We start from the raw sequence: 15,499 nt of genomic DNA, 5'->3' as shown, positions 1-15,499 counted from the left end.
GGGAGTGGCAGGGTTTTCAAGGCCACAACCCACCCCCCACCCTGGCCCCAACAGAGTTAAATGAACATCTTTCTGCTCAGTCTTGGGTTGGGGCTTATAAGGACAGCAAGTTTCTCCTTCAGCAAGTTTCTCCTTCAGGGCCATAGCCAACAAAACCCACCTTGGCAGCCTGCAGGGGGCTAAGGGTCAAGATGAGGGTCTTTCTGTCTGTACATTTGAAATTCCTTCTTGTAACTCTTACTCCAAGGACTTGTGATTTTCAAAATATCTTCACTTGCATTAGCTTCTCTGGATCTTATGATCCCATGAGGCATGCTGGAAAGATAAAGTCTTCCCCTTTTTAGAGAAGTTAATGACATCCCAAGGTCACACACTTGTCACACTCATCAGGAGGAGTAAAAACAACTATACTCAGTGAGTAGGGGGAAGACAATCAGTATTGAACCTAGAGAGACTTTTTAAGGGTGAAAATATCCTTAGGGTATGTAATATGTGTCTTGTCTTAGAAGGAAAAGAGAGTAAAACTTACCTGGTGTCAAAACTGCAATGTTATTTTGGCCCCCAAATGAGGGTCTCCAAACACCTGAAGGTAGTGCATGACTGGAGAAGAGATATCAGGACAGAGAAACGAGGCAGCAGAGACACCAATAAGAAACAATGTCCTTTAATTCTTAGCTTGGAGCTTAGGACAGTTCAAGTATTGTCTCACCTAAAAAGACCACTGATGGTTTGAAATTTATTCAATTTTGCTTGGGTTGGTTCTCAATTCAATTCAGTCTATTCATTTACTTGTACTGGTTGGAGGGTTTGATAACAAGATCAGCAGTCACAACAATAAAAATGCCTCCTGAAACTACACCATTTTTGACTGATGGCTCTTTGGAAAACCCTTCTCTCATTCCCCATCCAATAAGACTCATCAATCAACCCGAGGGTTTTACAGAAGTGGCCCACAAAGAGGCCCCCACTCTTGTGCTGACCTGCTGGTTGGTAAGTCCAGAGCCACAACAGCCCTCTGGCCACCACGCACAGGAAAGCTCCCCGAGGATGAGGACGATGTGATGGAAAGTAGGTTGGGAGACGAAGAGAGCCTCTGAATCCAGCTGTTCCTGAAGCCAAACTATCCCTGGACTTTCCAGCTAAGAGAGTCAATGCATCCCTCTTTATGTTTAATCTAGCTTGGTGTCCACCACTGAAGGATTCCTCATTAAGAAATTGGATTTTCTTTAATAACAAAACAGATAAGAGGAGGATTTTTGAAACTAATTGAGGTTGCCTTTAAAAAGGAAAGACTGAGACAGGAGGATCAGTTGAAGCCAGGAGTTTGGGACCAGCCTGGACAGCATAGTGAGACCCTGTCTCTAAAAAAAAATTTTTTTTTAATTAGCCAGGTGTGATGGCATGCTCCTCTAGTCCCAGTTACTTGTGAGCAAAGAATGAATGAGCTCATTTATTCATGTATTAGATATGAGCCTTGGACTGATTTCTGCCTCAGTGAAATGTGGGGTTAGGAGATGCTCTCCAATTTTCTATCAGAAATAAAATATACACCTACTCTGGGGGAATTTAAGTGGAATTTGTATACATGTGTAGAGTAGGTTCCCACTAAATGCTAGACACTATTGGTCTTGTTGGAATCAGGCAGGTCTGTGCATAGACCCAGACTTGGTCTGTAACATACCTCTAGGTCACCTTACTCTTTGGATGCGTCTCTTATCTGTGCTTCCCTGTGCATGTGTGCGTGACATGCATTCACTTATCTCTTCACTTGTTCATGCTCATTCAACAACACATTTGTGAGTATGGGGCATGCTTCAGGTCTCCCTTTTAGGATCTGGAAGTCCAGTGTAGGAAGTCTGAGAATTCAAGTTGCACTCTGTTCTGGTTATGTGAGTGTGAGTTTGATTAGATACGTGCCAGGGATGTGCCCAGGTGATCAGAAGAGGGCTGTGTTAGCCGCATGGGAAGCAAGGAAAACACTCTGTCCAGGCCATCACCATCTTTTCCCTGGACTGTTACATACCCCAGTCTTTCCCTTTCCAATCAATCCTCTGTGCTCCTACATTACTTTTCTGAGATGCAACTCTGAGCATTATTTATCCACATACCTTGTAAAGTGCCACATTGCCTCCAGGACAACACAGGCCTGCTAGCCTCTCCCTTCATGTTCCCTACTCTCTGAGCACACTGTGTACTATGGTTTGAATGTGTCCCCTCCAAAATTCAGGTGTTGAAACTTAATTGCCAATGTAAAGATATTAAGAAGTAGAGCCCTTAAGAGGTGATTAGGTCATGATGATCTCCTCATGAATGAAATTAAGCCCCCTCTAAAAGAGGCTTCATGCAGGCCTGGCTCTCTTGCCTTCTGCCTTCTGCCATGTAAGGACATAGCACTCCTTCCCTCTGGAGTACACAGCAAGAAGGCCCTCACCAGATGCCAAATGCTGGTACCTTGATCTTGGACTTCTCAGCCTCTAGAACTGTGAGAAATAAATTTTTTTTCCTGTTGTTTATTTAAAACAAAAAAAGGACGTTATACTGGGACACAAAATGTTAAGCATAAATAGAATAATAATTCTGTTTTTCTCTGATAATTTTTTATGGGAGTATAATTTATATATAGTAACATTTACAGATCTTAAGCATGCAGTTCAATGCATGCACATCTCTATCGAGACAGAACAGTACCATCACCCAAGGGAGATCCTTTGCACCCCTTCCTAGTCAACGCCTCCCCATCTCCCACCTCAGTGATAACCACTGTTGTGATTTCTTTTACCATAGTCTAGTTTTGTCTCTTCTGTAATTTGAAACCAATGCCCTGCTTTGTGTCTGGCTTCTTTCACTCAGCATGATGTTCTGAATCTCATCCACGTGCATGCAAATAACACCTAACATTTTTGAATACTCCTGGTGCACCAGGCACAATGCTCAAGTTACATATCTTTGTAATAATCCCATGGTGCGTTTTTAACATCTTCATTTTGTAGCTGAGGAAATGGAGAGCTAGAGAAGCTAAGTCACTTGCTCAGAGTAGCATGGCTAGTAAGTTAATCATCGTGATTCTAGCTCAAGTGTCTGTCTCCAGAGCCTGAGGCCTGAAGGAACCTTTTGCTTCTGTCTCCTGCACTGGGCAGGTCAAACACTGAGGCAGGTGAGACGTCATTAAACACCTCTCCCAGGTCTGTCCTCAGCCTCCACACACTCCTTCTCATTCTGTTTTTGCTCTCCTTGTACCTGGGCTAAAATCTCATTTTCTATTCTCCTCTTGAAGGTGTCGCCTTCACCCACCCTCCACTCCATGAGCTCTGGGGAGAAAAAATAGAGCCCACAAGGGTGCCATCCCTGCCCAGAGAGTTACTGCTCTGTCTCCACTCTCTGAATGATGACTGTGTGCAAAGCCTGACCCATAAATATGGTTACATTTCTCGGCCTGTCTACAGAAAGAAAGATTATCTACAGCTATAAAAAAGGGTAGAGTGAAGTTAAAAAAAAAATACAACTGCCACCCAGATAACCCAAATTAAACAAAAGCCTTTTCCATCTCAGGTGACACCTGATTCAAAATGGAATGCTTTGGAGGGTGTGAAGCTGTTAGTCACGTCTTACAGATGAGTCCCAGAGCTACGCCCAGCTACACATGTAGCTGAGCCTATCAGATCCGGTTGACATTGGCTTTGAGGTCACTGGGTGGCCGGCCATACACAGCTTGATGAGGAATGGGGACAACTGCATCTGTTTAGAGTCTTCTGGGCTTCCTTCTACACCCAGTCCAGACCAAACTCCTTGAGATCAAGGCCAGGAGAGAACCATGTGGTTTCTTCAGGAAGCAGGTAGGGGTAGGGAGAGAACAGGCAGTTGTGGACAAATGAGATGGGAGGGTAACAGGGTAGGACAATAGCTCCTACTTTGGCTATGAAGGACATAGCGCATTTCCTGGCTGTGCCATCTCGAGAAAGTTGCTCAACCTCTCTGTGCCATCTCTTCCCCCTCTGTAAAATAGGGATCATAATAGGACATAACAGATTGTTGTGAGAAATAACTGAGCTAATACCACATACTTAGCACAGTTTCTTGTGGATGATACATACTTAATCCATGTTTATTATGTTGCTGGGAACATTCTAGACTGGGAGTCTGTCAACGTAGATTCTCATCTCGGCTTAGCCACTTACTTGCTGTGTGCCCCTGAGCAAGTGACTTTCCCTTCCTGGGTCTCAATTTTGTCCCTATCTGAGAAGCCAAAGAGCCATTCCAGCTCAGATATTGCCCTCTTTGTGCTTATTGGAAGGACAGCATTCAAGCAAGCTGTGCTAGCTCTCCTCCTTGCCTGCCCCACCACTGGAACCTGCCTGAAGGTGTCAGCAACCTCTTTGCATCTCAGGATGGAACCTGGAACAGCTCTGAGCCCAGTTCAGAAAAACCACCTTCTCCCAGATGGAAAACGCATCTGTCGGCTGCCTCCCTGAAGACGATGCTTTCAGTCAAATTGTCCAAATCCTTGCTCGGCCACTGACCAGGCGCTTGACCTTGGGCTGGCTGCTTCACTTCTCTGAGCCCCAGATTCCTCTTCTGTAAAGTGGGTGTGATAGTAACAGCTGTCTCATACAGTTGTTGGGAAGAGTAAATGTGTTTTTTCAATTAAAGAGTTTAGCACAGTGCCTGGCTCCAAGTAATTACTCAACAAATGCTGGTCCTTTTTATATTACTATGATGACGATGATCATCGGGATTTTTGGTTCTTCCTTTCCAGTCCTGGGTCTCAGGTACAAGCAGCAACCACCTCACTCAGTGAAAAACAGCCTCCTCCTTCACTGCTCCTGGGAGCCATTTGTTTTTGCTGCTCTCCACGTGGGCATGTGAGAGCACATGTACACACATTCATTCACACATGCACACCCATGCATGCACACTCACACTCTCTGACAGCCTGGCTCCTAGGAGCACCTGGACTATCTGTCCTGTGGGGTGAGGGCAGAGGCGAGGGCCTGGCATGCAGCTTCTGGCCTGAACGCAGTGATTTGCAGGTCGAACTGGCTATTTTTGCAGGTTCACCAACAATTTCGGCTGCTCACTAAACACAGCCTGTGAGTCAGGAGTCAGGCAAGCTGTGCACCCAGAACTGTATTTAAGATAATCTTTGGACAGGAGTTGGCAGTCAGAAAATGAAGTGTATAATTTTCGATTAGTGCATTACAAGCTTCCAGGTTTGCCTGGGCCATAGCAGTCTCTTCTGGAATTTGTTTTGCAACTTGCTGCCATCTACAAACAAACAGGCCTGGGACTCCTGCAACAAAAGAAAAATATTTTGTATGTGAGGATTTCTGAAGCCAAATATTTCCCACACACCCACCTCTCTCTCTGCTCTCTCTCCTCTCTCATTCTCTTTCTTTCACACACACACACACACACACACACACACACACACACACACACACACACAGCCTTGTGGTGGGGATAACAACCCCTTCCGTTCATCCACCCTGGGGCTCCTCATCATGTCTCTCTTCATCTAGGATGCTTTCCTTGTTCTTGCTTTTTACTGGGACACATCTTCCTCTCTCTTTGGGCCGGGCTTTATTTCTACCTCTGCTTTATCCAGCCTTGAGTTCCCAAATGACCACAATTTGGTGCACGTGCCACCTTCTATATTCATTAAAGGCAACACAACCACAATAGCAACAGTAATAGTGATGACAATAACAATGCAGTGGCTGCTTTCTGTATGTCAAGCATGTGATGAGTGCCTCATAGGCATTATTTCACTGCACATTCAAAGCAGTCTTTGGGGCTGGGTCCTACACACATTATTCCCAACTGGCTAGTGAGGAACATCTGGATTAGAGAAGTGAAGAACTTGGCTGAAATCTCCACAGCAGTGACTGTTAATTTTGGAGCTTGGACCACAGAGTTCTGACCACAGAATCCAGATTCTTTCCTCCTGGGTCTCACTGTCTTAGGGAGTAACTGGTATTCATTGACAGTGTGGTTTGAATCTAGACTTGTGACCCATGATGACTTGTGACCCATGAAATCGTTTTAGGGGATCATGAGCACCTTAAAAATAGTCTACCCTCAACTATCATAGAAAACATTGAAGCACATGGTTCACATGAAGGACAAGTATTATTTCAGAACACTTTTATTTAGTTTGACATATACACATGTGCACGTACCTGTTTACAATGTAAAATGTATCTCCAAGTTTAGTCACAACCAAAAACAGTTTGAAAGTCTCTAGTCTACCGGGTCCCTCTGGAGAAAAACCCCTAGCTGTTTTGAGCTGAGGTTCTGCTGTCCCTCTTCCCTGACTTTTCTAATTATAATAATATTGATGGCAATGATGTCTCATGGCTATGATGGATATAAAATGACTTAGTATATTGTAAAATGTTGCCTGTAAGTAAGTTCCTGGTTGATTTTTACTTTTGCTGAATGGTTTTGTTCACATACATGGGGGTGGGGTGGCAGGAATTAGTCATTCTGCGACCATCATTGCAGCTCCAGTGGAGTTTCCCATCTTACGGCTGCAGCCTGCCAGCCCTCACGGTACCCCTTCCTCCAATTAGAAGCTCAGTGCCCAGAGGTTAGCAGCTAAGGCGATAGGGATGGAAAAGCTTTCAGTCCTTTGGGAAGTGTTTCCAGGAGGATTTAGCCCTGTCAGCCTTTCCCCAGACATCCGAGGGCTAACCAAGACCTAAACTCACCCGTGCCATTAGCTGGCTCTCAGCTTCTCACAGAGATCAGGGTAGGCATCTACAGGCTCTGTCCCCCAGGCCTGTGCTCCCCTGTCCTTTCACAGGCCAAAGAAAAGCTTGGGACTTGATTCCCAGGACAATCTGGGACTGCACCATTGGTGTCAAGAATAACAACCACCCTCTGGGTCTGCATGGAACCTTTCTTCTAAGTTCAAAGTAATTTCCTAGATGTTGGGCTCATTTCTTCCAAGGTCACCATGGGAAGGTTTGGTTCTCCCTGCCGGTTCTTGATCTTGGGGTTGGGTGAAAGGATGCGAGTTTAGAAGTTCTAGCCTTGATTACTTGCACGCAGTATGGGCTGGGGATGGATCTGCCTGCAATTTGGCTTCCCAAACCTTCCATCTGATTTCCGATTTCTCAACCCTGTTTTCATCATCACCTTTCTAAAGAGGTTTTGCAGACATTTTTCCCCTATTGCCTTCCACCTCCCCCTGCTCATTAAATGTTAATAGCGCAGCTCCACTGTACAGTCGTTTATGGACTATATGTCTTTCTGTGCTTTATCCATAAAAAGGGTGATTTTCTTGCATTTACCCCCCCCCAACCAGGAGCCAATTTTTGCTCCCTTAGGGGTGCTTTTACCCAGCTCCTCATCTGCACACTAGTACAGAACAACAACGGCACCTCCTCTTGGGGTTACTGCAAGAACTAAAGCCCACACTTCAAGTGAAGTGCTTAGCACAGTGCTTGGCATAAACTAGCACTCATTCGTTCTCACTATTGTTAGTGATCATCATAACAGTTAACATCTACTAGGGGGTAACTGTAGGATGGGATTTAGAGCTTTTCATCAATTTGGTGACTTGGTTCTCACAATAACACTGTAAGGCAGGGACGATTATGATTATCATCATTTTACAGATAAGAAAATCGAGATTCTGGCTTATTTAGTGGAAGGTAGAGGCCTGTTTCCCACTTATAAGAATGGAGGATTCTCGGGGAGGAGCCAAGATGGCCGAATAGGAACAGCTCCGGTCTACAGCTCCCAGCGTGAGCGACGCAGAAGACGGGTGATTTCTGCATTTCCATCTGAGGTACCGGGTTCATCTCACTAGGGAGTGCCAGACAGTGGGCGCAGGCCAGTGGGTGCGCGCACCGTGCGCGAGCCGAAGCAGGGCGAGGCATTGCCTTACCTGGGAAGCGCAAGGGGTCAGGGGGTTCCCTTTCCGAGTCAAAGAAAGGGGTGACAGACGCACCTGGAAAATCGGGTCACTCCCACCCGAATATTGCGCTTTTCAGACTGGCTTAAAAAACGGCGCACCACGAGACTATATCCCACACCTGGCTCGGAGGGTCCTACGCCCATGGAGTCTCGCTGATTGCTAGCACAGCAGTCTGAGATCAAACTGCAAGGCAGCAGCGAGGCTGGGGGAGGGGCGCCCACCATTGCCCAGGCTTGCTTAGGTAAACAAAGCAGCCGGGAAGCTCGAACTGGGTGGAGCCCACCACAGCTCCAGGAGGCCTGCCTGCCACTGTAGGCTCCACCTCTGGGGGCAGGGCACAGACAAACAAAAAGACAGCAGTAACCTCTGCAGACTTAAATGTCCCTGCCTGACAGCTTTGAAGAAAGCAGTGGTTCTCCCAGCACGCAGCTGGAGATCTGAGAACTGGCACACTGCCTCCTCAAGTGGGTCCCTGACCCCTGACCCCCGAGCAGCCTAATTGGGAGGCACTCCCCAGCAGGGGCACACTGACACCCCACACGGCAGGGTATTCCAACAGACCTGCAGCTGAGGGTCCTGTCTGTTAGGAGGAAAACTAACAAACAGAAAGGACATCCACACCGAAAACCCATCTGTACATCACCATCATCAAAGACCAAAAGTAGATAAAACCACAAAGATGGGGAAAAAACAGAACAGAAAAACTGGAAACTCTAAAACGCAGAGCGTCTCTCCTCCTCCAAAGGAACGCAGTTCCTCACCAGCAACAGAACAAAGCTGGATGGAGAATGACTTTGATGAGCTGAGAGAAGGCTTCAGACGATCAAATTACTCTGAGCTACGGGAGGACATTCAAACCAAAGGCAAAGAAGTTGAAAACTTTGAAAAAAATTTAGAAGAATGTATAACTAGAATAACCAATACAGAGAAGTGGTTAAAGGAGCTGATGGAGCTGAAAACCAAGGCTCAAGAACTACGTGAAGAATGCAGAAGCCTCAGGAGCCGATGCGATCAACTGGAAGAAAGGGTATCAGCAATGGAAGATGAAATGAATGAAATGAAGCGAGAAGGGAAGTTTAGAGAAAAAAGAATAAAAAGAAATGAGCAAAGCCTCCAAGAAATATGGGACTATGTGAAAAGACCAAATCTACGTCTGATTGGTGTACCTGAAAGTGACAGGGAGAATGGAACCAAGTTGGAAAACACTCTGCAGGATATTATCCAGGAGAACTTCCCCAATCTAGCAAGGCAGGCCAACGTTCAGATTCAGGAAATACAGAGAACGCCACAAAGATACTCCCCGAGAAGAGCAACTCCAAGACACATAATTGTCAGATTCACCAAAGTTGAAATGAAGGAAAAAATGTTAAGGGCAGCCAGAGAGAAAGGTCGGGTTACCCTCAAAGGGAAGCCCATCAGACTAACAGCGAATCTCTCGGCAGAAACCCTACAAGCCAGAAGAGAGTGGGGGCCAATATTCAACATTCTTAAAGAAAAGAATTTTCAACCCAGAATTTCATATCCAGCCAAACTAAGCTTCATAAGTGAAGGAGAAATAAAATCCTTTACAGACAAGCAAATGCTGAGAGATTTTGTCACCACCAGGCCTGCCCTAAAAGAGCTCCTGAAGGAAGCGCTAAACATGGAAAGGAACAACCGGTACCAGCTGCTGCAAAATCATGCCAAAATGTAAAGACCGTCGAGACTAGGAAGAAACTGCATCAACTAACGAGCAAAATCGCCAGCTAATATCATAATGACAGGATCAAATTCACACATAACAATATTAACTTTAAATGTAAATGGACTAAATTCTCCAATTAAAAGACACAGACTGGCAAGTTGGATAAAGAGTCAAGACCCATCAGTGTGCTGTATTCAGGAAACCCATCTCACGTGCAGAGACACACATAGGCTCAAAATAAAAGGATGGAGGAAGATCTACCAAGCAAATGGAAAACAAAAAAAGGCAGGGGTTGCAATCCTAGTCTCTGATAAAACAGTCTTTAAACCAACAAAGATTAAAAGAGACAAAGAAGGCCATTACATAATGGTAAAGGGATCAATTCAACAAGAAGAGCTAACTATCCTAAATATATATGCACCCAATACAGGAGCACCCAGATTCATAAAGCAAGTCCTGAGTGACCTACAAAGAGACTTAGACTCCCACACATTAATAATGGGAGACTTTAACACCCCACTGTCAACATTAGACAGATCAACGAGACAGAAAGTCAACAAGGATACCCAGGAATTGAACTCAGCTCTGCACCAAGTGGACCTAATAGACATCTGCAGAACTCTCCACCCCAAATCAACAGAATATACATTTTTTTCAGCACCACACCACACCTATTCCAAAATTGACCACATAGTTGGAAGTAAAGCTCTCCTCAGCAAATGTAAAAGAACAGAAATTATAACAAACTATCTCTCAGACCACAGTGCAATCAAACTAGAACTCAGGATTAAGAATCTCACTCAAAGCCACTCAACTACATGGAAACTGAACAACCTGCTCCTGAATGACTACTGGGTACATAACGAAATGAAGGCAGAAATAAAGATGTTCTTTGAAACCAATGAGAACAAAGACACAACATACCAGAATCTCTGGGACGCATTCAAAGCAGTGTGTAGAGGGAAATTTATAGCACTAAATGCCCACAAGAGAAAGCAGGAAAGATCCAGAATTGACATCCTAACATCACAATTAAAAGAACTAGAAAAGCAAGAGCAAACACATTCAAAAGCTAGCAGAAGGCAAGAAATAACTAAAATCAGAGCAGAACTGAAGGAAATAGAGACACAAAAAACCCTTCAAAAAATCAATGAATCCAGGAGCTGGTTTTTTGAAAGGATCAACAAAATTGATAGACCGCTAGCAAGACTAATAAAGAAAAAAAGAGAGAAGAATCAAATAGCCACAATAAAAAATGATAAAGGGGATATCACCACTGATCCCACAGAAATACAAACTACCATCAGAGAATACTACAAACACCTCTACCCAAATAAACTAGAAAATCTAGAAGAAATGGATAAATTCCTCGACACATACACTCTCCCAAGACTAAGCCAGGAAGAAGTTGAATCTCTGAATAGACCAATAACAGGAGCTGAAATTGTGGCAATAATCAATAGTTTACCAACCAAAAAGAGTCCAGGACCAGATGGATTCACAGCCGAATTCTACCAGAGGTACAAGGAGGAACTGGTACCATTCCTTCTGAAACTATTCCAATCAATAGAAAAAGAGGGAATCCTCCCTAACTCATTTTATGAGGCCAGCATCATTCTGATACCAAAGCCGGGCAGAGACACAACCAAAAAAGAGAATTTTAGACCAATATCCTTGATGAACATTGATGCCAAAATCTTCAATAAAATACTGGCAAACTGAATCCAGCAGCACATCAAAAAGCTTATCAACCATGATCAAGTGGGCTTCATCCCTGGGATGCAAGGCTGGTTCAATATACGCAAATCAATAAATGTAATCCAGCATATAAACAGAGCCAAAGACAAAAACCACATGATTATCTCAATAGATGCAGAAAAAGCCTTTGACAAAATTCAACAACCCTTCATGCTAAAAACTCTCAATAAATTAGGTATTGATGGGACATATCTCAAAATAATAAGAGCTATCTATGACAAACCCACAGCCAATATCATACTGAATGGGCAAAAACTGGAAGCATTCCCTTTGAAAACTGGCACAAGACAGGGATGCCCTCTCTCACCACTCCTATTCAACATAGTGTTGGAAGTTCTGGCCAGGGCAATCAGGCAGGAGAAGGAAATAAAGGGTATTCAATTAGGAAAAGAGGAAGTCAAATTGTCCCTGTTTGCAGACGACATGATTGTATATCTAGAAAACCCCATTGTCTCAGCCCAAAATCTCCTTAAGCTGATAAGCAACTTCAGCAAAGTCTCAGGATACAAAATCAATGTACAAAAATCACAAGCATTCTTATACACCAACAACAGACAGAGAGCCAAATCATGAGTGAACTCCCATTCACAATTGCTTCAAAGAGAATAAAATACCTAGGAATCCAACTTACAAGGGATGTAAAGGACCTCTTCAAGGAGAACTACAAACCACTGCTCAAGGAAATAAAAGAGGATACAAACAAATGGAAGAACATTCCATGCTCATGGGTAGGAAGAATCAATATCGTGAAAATGGCCATACTGCCCAAGGTAATTTACAGATTCAATGCCATCCCCATCAAGCTACCAATGACTTTCTTCACAGAATTGGAAAAAACTACTTTAAAGTTTATATGGAACCAAAAAAGAGCCCGCATCGCCAAGTCGATCCTAAGCCAAAAGAACAAAGCTGGAGGCATCACACTACCTGACTTCAAACTATACTACAAGGCTACAGTAACCAAAACAGCATGGTACTGGTACCAAAACAGAGATATAGATCAATGGAACAGAACAGAGCCCTCAGAAATAATGCCACATACCTACAACTATCTGATCTTTGACAAAACTGAGAAAAACAAGCAATGGGGAAAGGATTCCCTATTTAATAAATGGTGCTGGGAAAACTGGCTAGCCATATTTAGAAAGCTGAAACTGGATCCCTTCCTTACACCTTATACAAAAATCAATTCAAGATGGATTAAAGATTTAAACGTTAGTCCTAAAACCATAAAAACCCTAGAAGAAAACCTAGGCATTACCATTCAGGACATAGGCATGGGCAAGGACTTCATGTCCAAAACACCAAAAGCAATGGCAACAAAAGACAAAATTGACAAATGGGATCTAATTAAACTAAAGAGCTTCTGCACAGCAAAAGAAACCGCCATCAGAGTGAACAGGCAACCTACAAAATGGGAGAAAATTTTTGCAACCTACTCATCTGACAAAGGGCTAATATCCAGAATCTACAATGAACTCAAACAAATTTACAAGAAAAAAACAAACAACCCCATCAAAAAGTGAGCGAAGGACATGAACAGACACTTCTCAAAAGAAGACATTTATGCAGACAAAAAACACATGAAAAAATGCTCATCATCACTGGCCATCAGAGAAATGCAAATCAAAACCACAATGAGATGCCATCTCACACCAGTTAGAATGGCAATCATTAAAAAGTCAGGAAACAACAGGTGCTGGAGAGGATGTGGAGAAATAGGAACACTTTTACACTGTTGGTGGGAGTGTAAACTAGTTCAACCATTGTGGAAGTCAGTGTGGCGATTCCTCAGGGATCTAGAACTAGAAATACCATTTGACCCAGCCATCTCATTACTGGGTATATACCCAAATGACTATAAATCATGCTGCTATAAAGACACATGCACACGTATGTTTATTGCGGCATTATTCACAATAGCAAAGACTTGGAACCAACCCAAATGTCCAACGATGATAGACTGGATTAAGAAAATGTGGCACATATACACCATGGAATACTATGCAGCCATAAAAAATGATGAGTTCATGTCCTTTGTAGGGACATGGATGAAATTGGAAATCATCATTCTCAGTAAACTATCGCAAGAACAAAAAACCAAACACTGCATATTCACACTCATAGGTGGGAATTGAACAATGAGATCACATGGACACAGGAAGGGGAATATCACACTCTGGGGACTGTGGTGAGGTGGGGGGAGGGGGGAGGGATAGCATTGGGAGATATACCTAATGCTAGATGACGAGTTAGTGGGTGCAGCACACCAGCATGGCACATGTATACATACGTAACTAACCTGCACAATGTGCACATGTACCCTAAAACTTAAAGTATAATGAAAAAAAAAAAAAAAAAAAGAAAATCGAGACACAAAGTTGACTTATCCAAGGTAACTGATGTGGTTTGGATCTGTGTCCCCACCCAAATCTCATGTCAAATTGTAATCCCTAGTGTTGGAGGTTGGCCCTGATGGGAGGTGATTGGCTTATGGGGGTGGAGTTCTCATGAATAGGTTAGCACCATCCCCTCACTGCTGTTCTCAAGATAGTGAAAGAGTGAGTTATCACGACATCTGGTTGTTTTAAAAGTGTGTGTCACCCTCCCCCGGCCCCTTGCTCCTGCTCCACCATATAAGACACCTGGCTCCCCGTTGCCTGCCGCCATGATTGTAAGTTTCCTGAGGGCTCCCCAGAAGAAGATGCTGCCGTGCTTCCTGCACAACCTATGGAACTGTATGCCAACTTAGAAAGAAACCTCACTTCTTTGTAAATCACCCAGTCTCAGGTATGTCTTTATAGCCATGTGAGAATGGACTCATACAGTGACACAGCCAGTTAGTGGCAAAGCCAGAATTCCAATCCAGGGAGTCAGGTTCCTGGGCTTATGCTCTTAACTGCAATGCTGTATTAGTCATGTGAGAACAATGTTAGCATAAACATCAGTATGAACACCTGAACCCTTTCAACAATGACAGGTGGCCTTGCTGGTCTTATGGCTTCCGATGCATTCTGGCCTATATGGTCATCTTAACACTTTGAAAATGAACTTTCTGATTCTTCCATCCCAGGCAGAGCTGCCAGAATTACTGGCAAGGGTCAAGTTATTGAGCTCTCTCTTCTCAGACTGGGGAAAGTATTCGGGTATCCCCAACAACCATTCCTCCTCTTCGGAGACAAGATGGCACGGAGCGTGGGCTGCTGCTGTGGAGATGCGTGTTGCTATGACGGCGGCTCATGCCTCCTTCCTACCCTCTCCAAGGTGCTGACACAGGCAGTGGTTTCTATGGTAACAGGGCGAGTGGAGGGTCCATAAAGAAAGGACTCATGTGTTCTGACATGAGGGGAATTGAAATGAATCCTGGGCATTTGGAGGGCTACCCTGACATATGTCAAAGAGAAATGGTCTCATTACTGCAGGAATAGTCCCAGCAAGTAGACTGTTTGAGACAACAGAGTTTCTTAACTTATTCTCCCCCAAAAGTTTGCCTTTTGTCTTTTTTTTTTTTTGAAACAGGGCCTTGCTCTGTCACCCAAGTTGGAGTGCATTGGCGTGATCTTGGCTCACTGCAGCCTCGACCTCCTAGGCTCAGGTGATCCTTTCGCCTCAGCCTCCCAAGTAGCTGGGACTACAGGAGTACACCACCATGCCCAGCTAGTTATTTTCATATTTTTAGTAGAGATGGGGTTTCACCATGTTGCCCAAGCTGGTCTTGAATTCCTGGGCTCAAGCAATCTACTTGCCTTGGCCTCCCAAAGTGCTGGGATTACAGGCATGACCCACCACGCCCAGCCTGTCTTTTTTTTTTTTTTTATAAGGACAATTTAAGATTTCAAAAATTAAGATAAAGAGGCGGAAAACCATAGTGAGACTGAATTCTCAGGGGTGCGTAAGTCAATTACTATGCAGCCAATAGACCCACAAATAACTTTTGAATATGGCTCCAGGCATCTCAGAGAAGTTTCAAAGAATAAAGGTACTTATGTTCTGTCCTCTTTGAAGCTGCTCAATGCCCAGCCTCGGAAAACTCTTCCCGTTGACTGACAGCCTCTGCCCTGCAGGCTGTGGTGCCCCTTCAGAGCCCACGCCTTTCCTGCTGCCAGAAAGGCAGGGCAGATCCCCCCCCCCACCTC

The 15,499-nt window shown here is 44.2% G+C and overlaps 1 annotated feature.

Moving 5' to 3' along the window:
• Window positions 7,343-7,952: an enhancer, noted in NCBI's record as "H3K27ac-H3K4me1 hESC enhancer chr16:48055144-48055753 (GRCh37/hg19 assembly coordinates)". NCBI's record gives its function as "activates a minimal SCP1, AML or CMV promoter by ChIP-STARR-seq in naive H9 embryonic stem cells {active_cell/tissue: H9 hESC(naive)}" and the evidence as "EXISTENCE:reporter gene assay evidence [ECO:0000049][PMID:30033119]".

Source organism: Homo sapiens, chromosome 16 (genome assembly GCF_000001405.40).
Source record: "Homo sapiens chromosome 16, GRCh38.p14 Primary Assembly".
Taxonomy (NCBI): Eukaryota; Metazoa; Chordata; class Mammalia; order Primates; family Hominidae; genus Homo; species Homo sapiens.
Note: the sequence above shows the minus strand (reverse complement) of the source record. Positions and strands in the feature narration are given on the sequence as shown.